General features: G+C 35.6%; 1 pseudogene; it reads right to left on the bottom strand.

The window, feature by feature from the left end:
• On the bottom strand, nt 1,210-12,549 carry FRG1GP (FSHD region gene 1 family member G, pseudogene; annotated as a pseudogene).

Below are 16,424 nucleotides of genomic sequence, written 5' to 3'. Positions count from 1 at the left end.
TTGGGTGGGAAGGCTCCATAACCTTGGCACTGTTAGCATTCTGGGCGGAAGAGGATTCTGCAACATGCTTCACAGCATCCCTAGCCTCTACTCTCTAACACCTTATTCCAGTTGGGAAAACCAAAAATGTTCCCTGGGAGGCAAAATAGTCACCAGTTGGGAACAGGAACCACTGCTTTGAGGGATCAGAGTGGTTACTTTGTTCCCAATCCAAGGATCAGCACACACGATGAGAGAAAGTCCAGCTATTGGAACTGGAGTGCCAAGTTGAAGCTAGACCTACAAAAAAAGCTCCAGAAGCTCCTTTATAGGGCTGATCCCATGCCTCGGCTACTTAGCTTGTACAGATGCCATGTAACTCCAGATTTGGTGACAGAAGGAATTTAAAGGCTAGAACTAGATAGGGTCTTTCAAGTTAGGCCAGCACACAACGTGGACTTTTGACATCATCCAGAAGCTTGAACCAACCTCAGTCCTGAGGCAGAATTTCCCGTGGCATCTGATACACAGCCTGGATTTGGAGCACTCACTGGGATTAGATGCCACGGGAATATTGTGTTTAGGAACTCTGAAAAAGACAGGCTTCAACAAAGCAGACCTAAGCAACACGTAGCGTCTGAACTTTATCAGCTTCCATTCCAGCCCACGAGGACAAAAGCATCACATACATATCCACTGTGGCAAACCTGTCCTCAGTAGGGAGTTTTCCCAGTACTACTCTCCCCTCTGTTCTGAGACTACTTGCTCCTTTGTAATGTTCCTACTTTCTGTCCCACTCCCTAATAGATGATTTGTCCTCTCTGCCCGGCCCCCTAGTTCTGATATTTGGATTGTCTGCGATCTGGATACTACTTAGGAGGTAGAATCAAAGCCTTGTTGATTGGATTGGGAGTTTCTAACTTCCTATTAAAGGCACTGATTAAGCATCTATTGTATAAAGTAAGTAAGATTATGATCCAGTAAGAAAGATTCCACAAGTAGCGCAGGAAGAATTGGTTTCTACTACACTTCATGCTTCAGGACAGGAAATCCAGAAAAAAATTCTGTGGTATGTTAAGTGTGAACTGTAAGTTTCATTTCCATGTGAAAAACTGTAGTTAGCTAAAAAGTACATCCATGAAGAATCCTGATTAAACTTGTTTAATCCTGGTTAAACTAGGTACTAGCTAAATAATAATTTCACAACAACTCAAGAACTCTGTAAAAGCATTTCCTCTGAATATTTTATTCAGAAAAAAAACACAAAAAGATAAGGCAGAAACAAAAATTCCAGTCATTTGCAGTATCTGTTGGCTTTCAATTTGGTTCTCTTGTTTAAATAAAGAAAAATAGTAAAATTAATCTATGTAAAACATGGCATATATATTCAACTGCTACTAAATATAAAAAGCTTTAAAACTGTGTGTTCAATTTTGGTTACTGTATTACCACAACACTTATATTAAAATATGTATACTTTCAAATTTTGTTTCTATAAAAAATGGATTCTAATCTTATAAAAGTTATTTCCTAATATTCAATAAATGTTGCCTAAGGGCTTTTTCAATCCAAATAGCAATTTTAATTATTCTGGAATTTAAAGGTGCTTTAAATTTCCATTTAATAGGGTGAGAATGCTGTATTATTACGAGTGATAAAAGTTACAGGACATAGAGGTTATTTCGTTTTAGAGTCCACATCCTGATTATATTTTATATCCTCTTCTTGATTTCTTACAACTAGATACATACTCATTTGCTCAGCTGGAAAAAATTCTTAACATTATTTACTGACTTTAGGTATGAACTCTACCAGCTAGTTAATAGGAAATATGTAATTAAACATTGCCTTTATCAAGTAATGTAAAAAAAGCGTAAGACTAACTTTGCAACATAGGACTTGAATGAGCAGCTGGTGATTATCAAAATCTGGCACTTAATTGATTTATACTTGTACACTCACAGCTAAACGTCTCTACCTGTTTTTCTATGTTGTAAATCTAGGACATTACTTATCTACATAGGAAGAGTAATAAATATTAATAATGTGCTATGATAAACATCCTGCACTCTTCCAAATCTTACAATAAAACTGCTTCAATTTCACTTGTTTAGCTTTTATACTTAGTTTTTTAGTTGATCTATGCTTATTTTAAGGAACCTGAACTACTCTAACAGAATCCACATAATTTTTATATTAGTCAAACTGCTTCTTTCTAACTCTGGTTCTAATAGTTATAAAAATATAATGATAAATTTATGAAGTAGATACAGTCAAACCTGAATTTCTTAAAATATATACTTAGAATCGGTTATAATTTTTAGATATTCTTTCTTGACAGTCTTTTCCCAAACTCATGATGTCCTCTCTAGGTAATATTGCCACACTCATAAATTAGAAATAAAGACAAAAATGTGAAAACTACAGTAATTTAAGAGAATATAGGTTTTCTACATGCCATTTCTATTGGCTACTGAAAATAGTGAAAATAAGTAAATAAATAGCTACCTGTCCAGAAGCGTCTCATGCAAAAATCCATCTTTCTGAGCCTTTTTTAAGAATTTTACTCTCTTCTTTACTTATTTTAAGTTTTTGGTCTTGGAAGCTCTGAAATTTCTTTCTGCAAAGAAAATGTCTTCATTGAAAAATACCTCAAACTCTGATTATACATATTTACTATTAAATTTGTAAATACTGTTAATTTCTTTTTCACTTATTAAAAAGGTCTAATTGTAGGCCAGGCACAGTGGCTCATGACAGCAATCCCAGGACTTTGGGAGGCCAAGGCAGGCGGATCACTCGAGGTCAGGAGTTCGAGAACAGCCTGGCCAACATGGTGAAACCCCATCTCTACTAAAAATACAAAAATTAGCCGAGTGCAGTGGTGCGCGCCTGTAGTCCCAGCTACTCGGGAGGCTGAGGCAGGACAATCACATGAACCTGGGAGGTGGCGGATGCGATGAGCCGAGATCATGGCACTACACTCCAGTCTGGGGGACAGAGTTAGACTCTGTCTTGGGGGAGAAAAAAAAAAGTCTAATTGTATTTTTTTTAATAAGCTGGAGCTTCTGAACAACAAAGATGACCTTCATAACCTCTCAAGAGGAGGGCCACTCATTGGCTGGGTAGCAGAAGGCCCCACTTCTATTAAGGCATGCTGGCTGGAGTCCCCTGTGTCCTGGCCATAGCACAGCCTTTGACTGGCATCAGGCCCATTCTATGAATGAATAGAGAGATTGACTAACCCGAGTGACTACCTTTGGGAGCTGGTAGGATGATTAGGAAAACTGAACCCTCAAGAAGAGAAAAGCATTTAGCTCAGTGCTCTGTCCTAGAGGCTACATTGTGTTACCTCTTCTTGTCCATCAGTTTTCATTTTTTCAGACAGGGTCTTGCTCTGTCACCCAGGCTGGAATGCAGTGGTGATCAGAGCTCACTGCAGCCTTGAACTCCTGGGCTCAATCCTCCTGTCTCAGCCTTCCGTGTAGCTGGGCCTACAGGCATGCATCACCATCCCCAGCTAATTAGGTAATTTATTTTGAAAGCACTTTGAGAAGCACTTCACTGTCAAATCCGTAGGTCTAAAAGGAAAAGCATACATACACATAATTGATTTCACATTGTTTTACATTTCCTTTGTATTCTTCTGGAATGTCATCTTTTTTCTTGGTTTCTCTTTCAGCACAGGATCTAATCTAGATATTGGAAAAGAGAATTCAATGGGTTATATGTTTATCTTCCACCTTCACCACTTTACGCATCACATAAGAACATTCGAGATGATTTCTTATGCAGAAGAAAAAATTAACTGAGCAAATATATTCAGAAAAAGACAGGTTCTGGCCATGTGTTTTTACTTCATATATATAATCTATATGAGTAAGTGCTATCACATGCTTTCTCCACAGCCCTTGTGTCAGAAACACTACAGACAAAATTATTTCAGAAACATTTTACACATCAGATCCTGCTAGGCAATAAAGAAATCATTAATTTAATTTTGTTCTCCAAGTGAATACACTGGGATCAAATTATCCCTAGTAGACAAGTGTTCATTTGATCAGATTAAAAGCTTAATAGCTATTTTACATTGCACAGACTATTACTAAAGTATTAAAACTTTTAACATTACACAACTTGTTTTCAATTAATTGGAACCCACCTCTTTTACTAGCTTCTTATATCCTCCTAAGTTTGGATAGATGTTTACTATCACATGTCATAAGTTAATTAATCTGCATTCAACAATTAGGATTGCCCACAGAACAGGCAATTGGCAATGGTAAGGACTCATGTCTCCTAAGGGATCTCTGTGGCCAGAGTCCAGTTCCAGGGCTGCTTAGAAAGTGATGACAAATAACGTGTTTGTGCCAATGACATCTTTGTGACAGTTTTGATTAGAGGGTTCCCAGACTTGAAAACATTCCCTGCTAGGGCCTGTAGCACAATGCTACCTTTAGTAAGAGGGGTCTGTGTTCTGGTAGACAAGGTAAGGTCATAAAGGTGAAGGGCTGACAGAGATTAGGACAGCCTGCAATTAAATGGTACAAAAAGAGTCCTAAATAATCACTGTTCAGAGCTTCCAAGTACTTGACGAACCAAAAAGACCCAGAAAACTTTGTATTTCATCTGAAAATTGCTTTAAATCATGAAAAATGCAACCTTTGTGTAAATATCTTTGTATCTTTGTATAAGTGCAAAGCACTGCACATATATTTGCAATTGTTGCCTTCAGTAACACTTTTGTGATGATATCCAGATGAAAAATAATTTAAACATGATGCGATAAAATGTAAATAAATAAAATTAAATGTAAGTCACAAACCCATCCGCATTTCCCCAATGATCTGTTTCCTGAGAAGCAATGTGCTATGAAATACTGAGAGTGGCCTCTGGAGTCAGCTGGGCCTGGGTACACATCCTGTCTTACCACACCTTGAAATCACTGTGATTTCCATGAACTGACTGACAAAAACCACGAGGATGTAAGGAGGGTCAGAGGCTGTCTTCCTGTCTGTAAGGCTGAGCTCACATCCACCTCACAGGAGCATTATGGAAATTCAAGACTACAACGCATGTGCCGGATGCATGCAACGAAAAAATATAACATTTCACTTCTCTAACTGTAAGAAAATACCTACATTTTAGATTGAAATTGTTTGAGCTTTAGATTTGAAATTATCTGAAATCAAGACTATTCTAAAAAGAAAATCAAACATATGACTGGAAATATAACATGAAGCACGTACAGAGAATTGATAGATGCTTTTAAATTACATTGGTAGTAGAGAAAAATGTAACATAAATTTTTATGCTTTAATTATAAGAATGAAGGGCATTTTAGAAAAGGCATTTGCCCCCTCTCTTAGAGCCTTCCACTCTGGCCCCCACAATGCCTTACAGAGCAAATCTGGGTCAGACTGGATGCAACCTGTGATTCCCAACAGAGACAAACAAAGTAAGGTTCTGGATGCTCAGTACTGGGATGGAATGCCAAGACACAGAAAAGCCATGTGTCAAGAAGGGGGGAGTTATTCTTTAGACACATCCTGGTATATGTTTATCATTAAAGATCAGTGCCTTTGCTCAGTACTGCGATGGAATGCCAAGACACAGAAAAACCATTTGTCAAGAAGGGGGGAGTTATTCTTTAGACACATCCTGGTATATGTATATCATTAAAGATCAGTGGCTAAAAAATTAATCCTTAAATGTTTTCATCAAGTTCCAATTAACTACCTGATTTATCTAGGTTATATTAACAGTATTATTTGGAATTTCACCTTGATATGAAGATGTCTGTGTAACTTTTACAATGATGTAAAACAAAGAGTAAGATTAGGGAGGGCACAGGCCACTGGTGCAATGGATAACACATGTGACTATGGATGAGGGAATTTAGCCTGGAATAAGGAACTTTTATTTCCAGATTAGTGATGCACACGAATTTTAAAAATAAAATAAAAACCATGTTTTATGTGATTCATGTTTCTCCTAATGCAAAGAAGACAGGTACTATTAATAAAAATATTTTTAAAATGTAAGGGCTAAGGCCCCAGAAGTTCTGCTATGATTTTTTATGTTTCATAGAGTGATTATCATCACAGAAGCTCAAGCATTATGTAAATACAAACGCGTATACCCCGACCTGGTAATTCTGCTTCTGGAAATTTATCTTCAGGTCCACCCACACATCTACAAATTGATGCATATTCAATGTTATGTACTGCAGCACTGTTTATAAGAGCAAAAGACTTGAAACAGCCTAAATTTCCATCTACAAAAGACTAAATGAATTAAGGTACATCCCTAAAATGGAATTTTATGTGGCTGTTAAAAAAGAGAGAGAGAGAAAGAGAGGAAAAGCAAGACAAAGAGAAAACTTTCTACATTCAAACTAATAGTAGAAAACTCTCCAAGATACAATTTTAAGGAAAAAAAAATCAAAGTCGAGAAGACTATAGAGGAGGTTGTCTTTAGTGTAAAACAGTTGAAAATTATAAATATATTCATATGTTTATAAAGAAACTTTAGGAGGCTATGAAAAAAACAAAACAAAGGGAATGAGGAACAGGAGCTGGGACACAGGTGAGTAAGATGCATGGCAGGCATGTATCTTCATCTTTATATGCTTTTATTTAAAAATGTTGGACCACATGTACATGTTATCTATTTAAAAAATCAGATTTTAAAATACAAGCAAGAAAACAAGAAAATGAAAGCTTAAAAAGAGCATGTGGAACTACCAGAAAAAGATACTAATCCATGGAGATAATGGCAAGATAGCTCCTAGATGCACTGATTTCTCTAACACATTGTATAAACAAGCCATCAACTATGGGATTTATAATTTAAAATGAGTCTATTTGAAACACCACATTATAAAAAGCTATTAACTAAATCTTTAAAGTGACAGTAAATGATGACTTAACATTTTAAAGAGATACAGTCACATCGCATGTGTGAATGCAGTCATCTGTATAAAATGTCATCATCACCTTGATCATTTCTTCTTCTGCTGTTTTACTTTTTGCTTCTATGTCCCCTGCTTCATTACATCTAATAAAGCAGCTATTTGAGGCCAACAAAGCCACTTTCCCTTAAGTGAAACAAAATAACAAAATAGCCATGAGGATACTTCTTGTGGAAGAAACATTAAATGTTTAGACTGAATTAATTTTTCCTCCCTGATTTAAAAATCACAGAAAAGAACTTAGAGAAAAACCTGAAAAATATAATACAAGAACATATAGAAAAGGAAACCAAAATCACCTTTCATTTTACTATTCAAAGATTACCACAATAAACATTTGTAATGTATCTTCCTAGTAGGACTAAATTCTTTTTTTTTTTTTTGAGACGGAGTCTCGCTCTGTCGCCCAGGCTGGAGTGCAGTGGCGGGATCTCGGCTCACTGCAAGCTCCGCCTCCCGGGTTCACGCCATTCTCCTGCCTCAGCCTCCCAAGTAGCTGGGACTACAGGCGCCCGCCACTACGCCCGGCTAATTTTTTGTATTTTTAGTAGAGACGGGGTTTCACCGTTTTAGCCAGGATGGTCTCGATCTCCTGACCTCGTGATCCGCCCGCCTCGGCCTCCCAAAGTGCTGGGATTACAGGCGTGAGCCACCGCGCCCGGCCGGACTAAATTCTAATTAGATGAGGTAGGATTGCTTCCTTTCTAAAAGATCTACTGAAGATAAAACTGATTTAGTTCTGTTTGAAAAATTAACTTTAAAGACAAGAACATAATTATGAATGCATACTTTATTCAAATATTAACATTTTAAATAAAAATTATTTTCTTCACAATTAGAAAACATGAAAAGGTATATACAATGCCTTTGGTGTTTTGAATTTAAGAATCAATGTCTGAGTGACTTTTGTGTGTGAAAATAAATATTCATATACATGTTTAGTTGTTTAATGTTTGATGTATTACACTGCTTTCTATTAAACAAAACTTTAAAAACTGATTTTCTTGTGTATCTAAATCTGGGTTACAAATTTGGTTAGCTTAACTCCCGTAACAAATATAACGTTTATTTATAACTTGTATTTGGTTGATTCTTTTGGAAAACTTGGAATACCATAACGTTTAGACAAAATATTTATAAATACAATGATTACAAAATATGTTAAACTTATATCACATCCAGTTAAAAATGTGCTGATAACATGGATTTAATTTCTTAGTCAAGTCCCAAGGGCTGGGTGGTCTCTCATCTGGATGGCTCCTGGTGAGCCCTGGAACATGGTGGTCTGGTCCAAGGCGATTTAAACCTGTGCCACAGATTATTCAGCTGAGTCCTTTTTGAAATAGAGTTTTAAGACCCTCTTTCATTTAAATTTAAATTTTTGAAACTTAGTGTCCTTCCTAAAAATAAAATGAAATGAACTTTCCTAAAGTGTTGTATTATTAGTACTATCTAAGTCATCATCCTGGCCTTATGAAATATTGGCATTTTCTACTGGTGTAACTTTTATTAGAAACATCTCATCACAACTAGTAGGATCATCTCAAAGGGGTTGCAACACATTAACAGGTAATGAAATCAATGTAGTGTTTCCTGAACGGTATTGGGTGGGCTGGGGGGAAAAGGAATACACACAGACACACAGAGGAAGGGGTAAAAGAGAATAAGAAATATCAAGGTGTATAACACATGGATAAGTAAGTATTGTTAAGTACAACTCTTGCTTCAGTTATGCATATGTGTGTGCTGCATTTGTCAATGGATTGGGTCAAAATAGTTTTCAAGTCACTGACTTAAGATTTTATCCTAGGGGATGAGGAAATTAGTCTAAGTGATTACTTCTTTCTGGTGGGATGTTTTTTTAATCTGTCGTCTTAGAAAACACTGCTGAGTTCCTATTTTCAGTTCATTATTGTATACTACCAAAGCTGCTACTCAAAGGCTGAGCTTATCTTCTATTTGCTTGTTCTGCGTGGTACCCACTGGTCCTTACTGTTTTTGATATAGTTATCTACTTTTTAAAGACAGTTTAGCACTCACATATTTTTTGTTCAATCTTTACTTCTCACACAGAAAAAGGAAATCATGTATTCTGTATCAACAAAGATTTAACAAAACATCCATATACTACAATTGTCTACTTACTAAAATTAAGAATTAGTATACTATCTTTTTTCTTCTTATATTAAAACTATCTTTTCATACACTATTTTAAGCTTATGAACTGAAAGTTTTTTAGAGATAATTTACTTCAATGAACTATTATTATTTATATTTTATACGCAAATTGTCACAACTTGTTCTTAGCTAGCTCCACTGTTCTCTTACAGTCTGTAATGTTTCTGAAAGCATCCATGATTTCTGCTACAAGGAAGATACTTAGGAACTATTCTGTTTTCCTACTCTGTGACCTAAAATTGACTGGTTCTTCAATGGAAATGAGATCCATATCGGGCACTAAGGGTATACAGAAATAATTGTGGGCAAAAGTACTAATGCTATTTTTGTTGCACTATATTTTGAGATCTCTTTAAGGCTCTATGTTCTTACTGATTTATTCCAATTTAATGTATTATACTATTGCATCCTACTTTTTCTTTTTAAATATATTATGATTGACTGTTACAGACTTTCTGTTAAACTGACAGGAAGTTTTTATAAACAATAACAGCACTTATATTTTGAAAGACTGGTTCCTATTGTTCTCTTGGTTCAACTGCATCTGAACGCCCAATAAGAAGTTCATCTGAATTTATACCAAGATATTTTCTATAGCCAGATTTCAGGGCGATTCTGTACATTAATAAGATAGATAAAAGTTAAAAACTGAGAGAAAATTAATTATAGGACATCAAAACAGGACATGTGTATGTGTGTGGGTGTGTACATATCTAAAATTCCAGACTGGACATATTCCAAGTGTTCAAAAGATGCATGTGGCTGAGTGGTGACTCAAGACTGTAATCTGTGTTTTGGGAAGGCAATGGGAGAATTGCTTGAGGCAAGAAGTTCAAGATCAGCCTGGACAACATAGTGAGACCCCATCTCTATAAAAAATTTAAAAAGTTAGCTGGGCATGGTGGTGTGCACACGTAATACCAGCTACTTGGGAGGCTGATGCAGGAGGAGTGCTTGGAGCCCAGAAATTTGAGGTTATAGTGAACTATGTTCACACCACTGCCCTCCAGCCTGGGTGACAGAGTGAGACTCTGTGCCTTCCAAAAAAAAAAAAAAAAAAGCTACATGTGACTAGTTGTTGCCATATTGGACAGTGCAGTTTTAAATTTAGTTTTATATTTTGCTTTTTTAATATAAACATTGTACCTTATATATTACATAACAAATATTTTCAAAATTCATCATTCTTCAATTATACCTCTTTAGTTATAAACTTCAATAATAAATTACTAAAACTTTATGTCATCAAACTGTTTTCCAGAAAATGCTGCTTCCATTTACATTCTCACCTCAAATTAACACAGTATGTTTTGTATCATGGATTTTTTTTTTAAACATTATGACTCTAAAAAAATACTTGAAAACCTGATATGGAAAAAAACAGTATCCTATTAATTTGCATTTTAGTAGTTAACTAGAATAACAATTGTTTTTCTTTTCCTTTCCTTTTTAGTTTTTAGATTATCTGGTAATGTGCCTTGTCCACTTTTCTATTCAGATCTTATTGTTCGCAATTTTTCTACTGGGGTCTTCAGTGCTATGAATTTTATACAAGATACATATGAAGATTAAGAACTCACTGCCTATTAAGATTGTTGCAAATATTTTCCTCATTTGTCAGTTAATTTTCTTTATAATCCTTTTTTGTTTATAATTGTAAAGCAGTTTAAAACTATTGAATTTTTTCTTCCTCTGCTTTTATTCTTTGTCTTTCACTCTACTTATCAGACTTCCAAAGAAAGTATAGAAATAATCATCTTAATGTGATTTTTTAAAATTATGATTTCTTTTACCTTACCAAGAATCTCCTTGGATGCCAGAATTGACTTTTACTCCTTTATACGTTAATGATTATATAACAGAAATCATTATCATGTCGATGTAACCAATTACTAAAATATGTAAATTCACTTTCAGTATGTTTTACCCAAAGAATCATTCTATACTTCTGCACAAGGTGAGAATAAAAAAGGCTACTTTATAAAATGACTGTAAAAATAGTGAGTAAAAATATTCTTTTGGTCGTTATGATGCTGTAACATTCTCTGCTGGTTTCAACAATATTCCTTTTTTTAGTCTTCCTGTTTGTCTTTAGACTTCCAAACAGTGAGTTTAAATATCATAGCAACAGTGAACCAGGTTTTGTACTATTTGATTTATTTTTTAATCTATCTTACTTGGTGTGTGAAATTATTAATCTTCATTTTTTAACTTACATATCTTTTTTCCAGCCTAGCATTATATATTGATAGGAAATCCACTAAAAGTAGATCACAAAATCTACTTTTCAAAAAAGCTATTTTGTTTTTTATATCAAAATTACCGTGGGCTTAAGACAGATACTAAAATTTTTAATGAATACAATTAAATTTTTAAAATAACTGGTTACTAATTATATTACAACATAAGCTCACCTGGAATCAGATAATTTGACAGCCGTAAACTGCTCTGGAGGACTAGAGCCCTCATCAACTATTGGAGAAAAAACTTTTGAATATAAATTTGACATTTGCTATAAATATAAAGACATTATTTTGCTTTAAAAAATGTGGCTATTTTCTTCTGCAATTAAATGTAAGAATATTCAGATATACTGATGTCACTGTAATACTGTATCTTTGGAATCAAGATCTATTTTACCTTCTTTTAACTACAGTGCTAATTTTATACACTGAGTAAGACAGGGTGATATAATGCTTATTTAATAACTTTCGAGATAGATTCTCTTTATGTTTTAAAATACAGTCATAAATAAGCACTTATTTAAAAAAGCTAAACGCTTTCATTTATTCAATGGATGGCCTTGCTGACCAAATGATACTGCTTTTTATCTTCTAATTACTTCATATCTCATTAGTGTTTCCTCTAAAGGGCTAAAGAAAATGAGGAAACTTCAAATTGTTAAATGCACCCAGGTTAGTTTTGGTAATAGGTCTGAATAAAAAAGAAATTCAAAGATGTTTGACTCAAATAGGTTTTCTTTTTTCTTTCCACTTACTATTTTAATTATTCATATTGTTTTGATTTCCAAAGATACTCTTATGGAACTATATGGAATGTTTTCAAATGCTTATATTAAAAAGAGGGACTTCCCAATGGCTGGTAAATATTAAGGAATTAAAAAATGGAAGTGTCAAATGCAATGGTTCCATTTATTTGGAAAATGTTTGAGACTAGTTAGAGTTTGGCCTAAGTGAATGAATGTCCTAAAATCTACACTTGTGGCAGGATCTTCCCTTCCAAACACAAACTTTCTTTGTGTGGAGCTCCCAGGGTAAAAAGACCATTGTCGAGTGCATGTATATAGGTTCCCTCATCCATTTCAATGGCTATGGTTCCTGAAATTCCACCAAAGTTTATTACTGTCCACCAGATTCCTAAAAAATAAAATTGATATTTCAACTTTATATTTTAGTTTTGACACAGAGTTCTTTGTTATTATAACTTAGTTTTAAAAACTTTATTTTGCAGTCGTAAGAAATACTACAAAGATCTCACATATCCTTCACTCACTTTGTCTCAATGATGACATCTTGCATAAGTATCACACATTGTTAGAATCAGGAAACTGACATTGATATAATCCATGAAGCTTATTCAGATTTCACCAGTTTTACGTGTACTTGTTTGCATGTATGTGCACAGATTCCTGCGACTACCAGCAGAGTCAGGATTAGGTTTTTAAAATACACAATAGCAACATACAGCCAGGCATGGGGGTGCATGCCTGTAATCCCAGCTACTCGGGGAGCTGTGAAAGGGGATCACTTGAGCCCAGGAGTTCAAGGTTATAGTGAGCTATGATCACGCCACTGCACTCTAGCCTGAGTGACAGAACAAGGTCCTGTCTCAAAAAAAGACCAAAACAAAACAAAAGGCAACATGTGAGGGTAAAATTGATATATGGAGAACAGTCTCTCTCATGATAGACCCCAGCCATCTATTCATGCCTGCTTTCCAGAGGCAATGCCTACGATAATGCTTCTTAAAAATGCCTCTACAGGAAGACTTTCTAGCATAGTAATCTTTTTTTTTTTGAGATGGAGTCTTGCTCTGTCACCCAGGCTGGAGTGCAGTGACGCGGTCTTGGCTCACTGCGACCTCTGCCTCCTGGGTTCAAACAATTCTCTGTCTCATCTTCCCGAGTAGCTGCAGTTACAAGAGCCTGCCACCATACCTGAATAATTTTTTTTTGTATTTTTAGTAGAGACGGGATTTCACCACATTGGCCAGGCTGGTCTTGAACTCCTGACCTCGTGATCCACCCGCCTTTGCCTCCCAAAGTGCTGGGATTACAGGTGTGAGCCACCACACCCGGCCAGTAATCTTAACTACGATTTTAGATTGAAAGCAAAATGAGCAGAATCTATGTCTATGTATACTAATTTCCAATTTGCCAATAGAAATGTTAGACTCTAGCAACAATTATTTTAGCAGTTGTTATAAAAGTTTACATCTTAATGTGAAAAAATATCCTCAAACCTTCTCCTAAATTGTACTTTAACTAGAGTAGAAATGAGTCAATCATTAACTGGATATGCCATATTAAGGAATTCTTGTTAATTTTACAAGGTCTGATAATGACATAGTATAATGTATAAAAGTAAAGAACAAAAGAGGTGATGAGAGAAAGACATACTGCATTAAGAAATGTACATTTATGTACTTATGGGTAAAATGACGTAATATCTGTGATTTTACTTAAAATTTTCTTGGAAAAAACGTGTATGGGGGTGTGTACGTAAATGAAACGAGATTGGCAAAATATTGATAATTAATGCTGGGGTCTGGGCACATGGGGGACTCATTATATTCTTCTATGTATGGATTAGTTTGGATATTTCCATAATAAAAAGGTTTTAAAGTTTCAGTTAATTCCACTGCACAAAATTTTCTATTCAACTAAACATTTCATGCTTTTCATAATCAATTTTAAAATACATAAAATTTCAGCTAAAATGAAGTTGGACCCTTATCTAACACCAAACACAAAAAGTAACTTAAAATAGACCGAAGACCTAAATGTAAGAGCTAAAGTTACAAAACTTTTAGAAGAAACTGGGAAAAGCTTCACGACAATGAATTTGGCAATGATTTCTTATATAGAACATCAAAGGCACAGGCAACAAAAGAAAACACAGACAAACTGGACTTCATCAGAATTAAAAACTTTTGTGCATCAAGAACCACTGTCAACAGAGTAAAAGGCAACCCAGAGAATGGAGAAAATATTTGTAAACTATATACAATATAAGGAATTAATATCCAGACTAGATAGAGAACTCCAAAAAGACAAATACCACAATTCAAAGGATATACATGGGCAAAGGATATACACGGACATTGTTCCAAAGATGATATACAAATGGCCAATAAGCACTCGAAAAGATGCTCAACATCACTAGTCACTAGGGAAATATGAATCAAAATCATAATGCAATACCACTTCACACCCATTAGAATGCTATTATCAAAACAAACAAAAAACAGAAACCAAGAAAAGCAGAAAAACAAATGTTGGGCAGGATGTGGAGAAACTGAAACCTTGTGCAATGCTGGTGGGAAGGTAAAACGGTGCATGTATTTAAATGCCACTGAAGTGTACACGTAAAAATAGTAAAACTGGCAAATTCTCCTTGAAGAGGTCCTTCTTCAAGGAGAACTACAAACCACTGCTCAAGGAAATAAAAGAGGATACAAACAAATGGAAGAACATTCCATGCTCATGGGTAGGAAGAATCAATATCGTGAAAATGGCCATACTGCCCAAGGTAATTTACAGATTCAATGCCATCACCATCAAGCTGCCAATGACTTTCTTCACAGAATTGGAAAAAACTACTTTAAAGTTCATATGGAACCAAAAAAGATCCCGCATCACCAAGTCAATCTTGAGCCAAAAGAACAAAGCTGGAGGCATCACACTACCTGACTTCAAACTATACTACAAGGCGACAGTAACCAAAACAGCATGGTACTGGTACCAAAACAGAGATATAGATCAATGGAACAGAACAGAGCCCTCAGAAATAACGCCGGGTATCTACAATTATCTGATCTTTGACAAACCTGAGAAAAACAAGCAATAGGGAAAGGATTCCCTATTTAATAAATGGTGCTGGGAAAACTGGCTAGCCATATGTAGAAAGCTGAAACTGGATCCCTTCCTTACACCTTATACAAAAATCAATTCAAGATGGATTAAAGACTTAAATATTAGACCTCAAACCATAAAAACCCTAGAAGAAAACCTAGGCATTACCATTCAGGACATAGGCATGGGCAAGGACTTCATGTCTAAAACACCAAAAGCAATGGCAACAAAAAGCCAAAATTGACAAATGGGATCTAATGAAACTAAAGAGCTTCTGCAAAGCAAAAGAAACTACCACCAGAGTGAACAGGCAACCTACAAAATGGGAGAAAATTTTCGCAACCTACTCATCTGATAAAGGGCTAATATCCAGAATCTACAATGAACTCCAACAAATTTACAAGAAAAGAACAAACAACCCCATCAAAAAGTGGGCAAAGGACATGAACAGACACTTCTCAAAAGAAGACATTTATGCAGCCAAAAAACACATGGAAAAATGCTCACCATCACTGGCCATCAGAGAAATGCAAATCAAAACCACAATGAGATACCATGTCATACCAGTTAGAATGGCGATCATTAAAAAGTCAGGAAACAGCAGGTGCTGGAGAGGATGTGGAGAAATAGGAACACTTCTACACTGTTGGTGGGACTGTAAACTAGTTCAACCATTGTGGAAGTCGGTGTGGCAGTTCCTCAGGGATCTAGAACTAGAAATACCATTTGACCCAGCCATCCCATTACTGGGTATATACCCAAAGGACCATAAATCATGCTGCTATAAAGACACATGCACACGTATGTTTATTGTGGCATTATTCACAATAGCAAAGACTTGGAACCAGCCCAAATGTCCAACAATGATAGACTGGATTAAGAAAATGTGGCACATATACACCATGGAACACTATGCAGCCATAAAAAATGATGAGTTCATGTCCTTTGTAGGGACATGGATGAAATTGGAAATCATCATTCTTAGTAAACTATCACAAGAACAAAAAACCAAACACCGCATATTCTCACTCATAGGTGGGAATTGAACAATGAGAACACGTGGACACAGGAAGGGGAACATCACACTCTGGGGACGGTTGTGGGGTGGGGGGAGGGGGGAGGGATAGCATTGGGAGATATACCTAATGCTAGATGACGAGTTACTGGGTGCAGCACACCAGCATGCCACATGTATACATA

This window comes from Homo sapiens, chromosome 22 (genome assembly GCF_000001405.40).
Source record: "Homo sapiens chromosome 22, GRCh38.p14 Primary Assembly".
NCBI lineage: Eukaryota > Metazoa > Chordata > Mammalia > Primates > Hominidae > Homo > Homo sapiens.
Note: the sequence above shows the minus strand (reverse complement) of the source record. Positions and strands in the feature narration are given on the sequence as shown.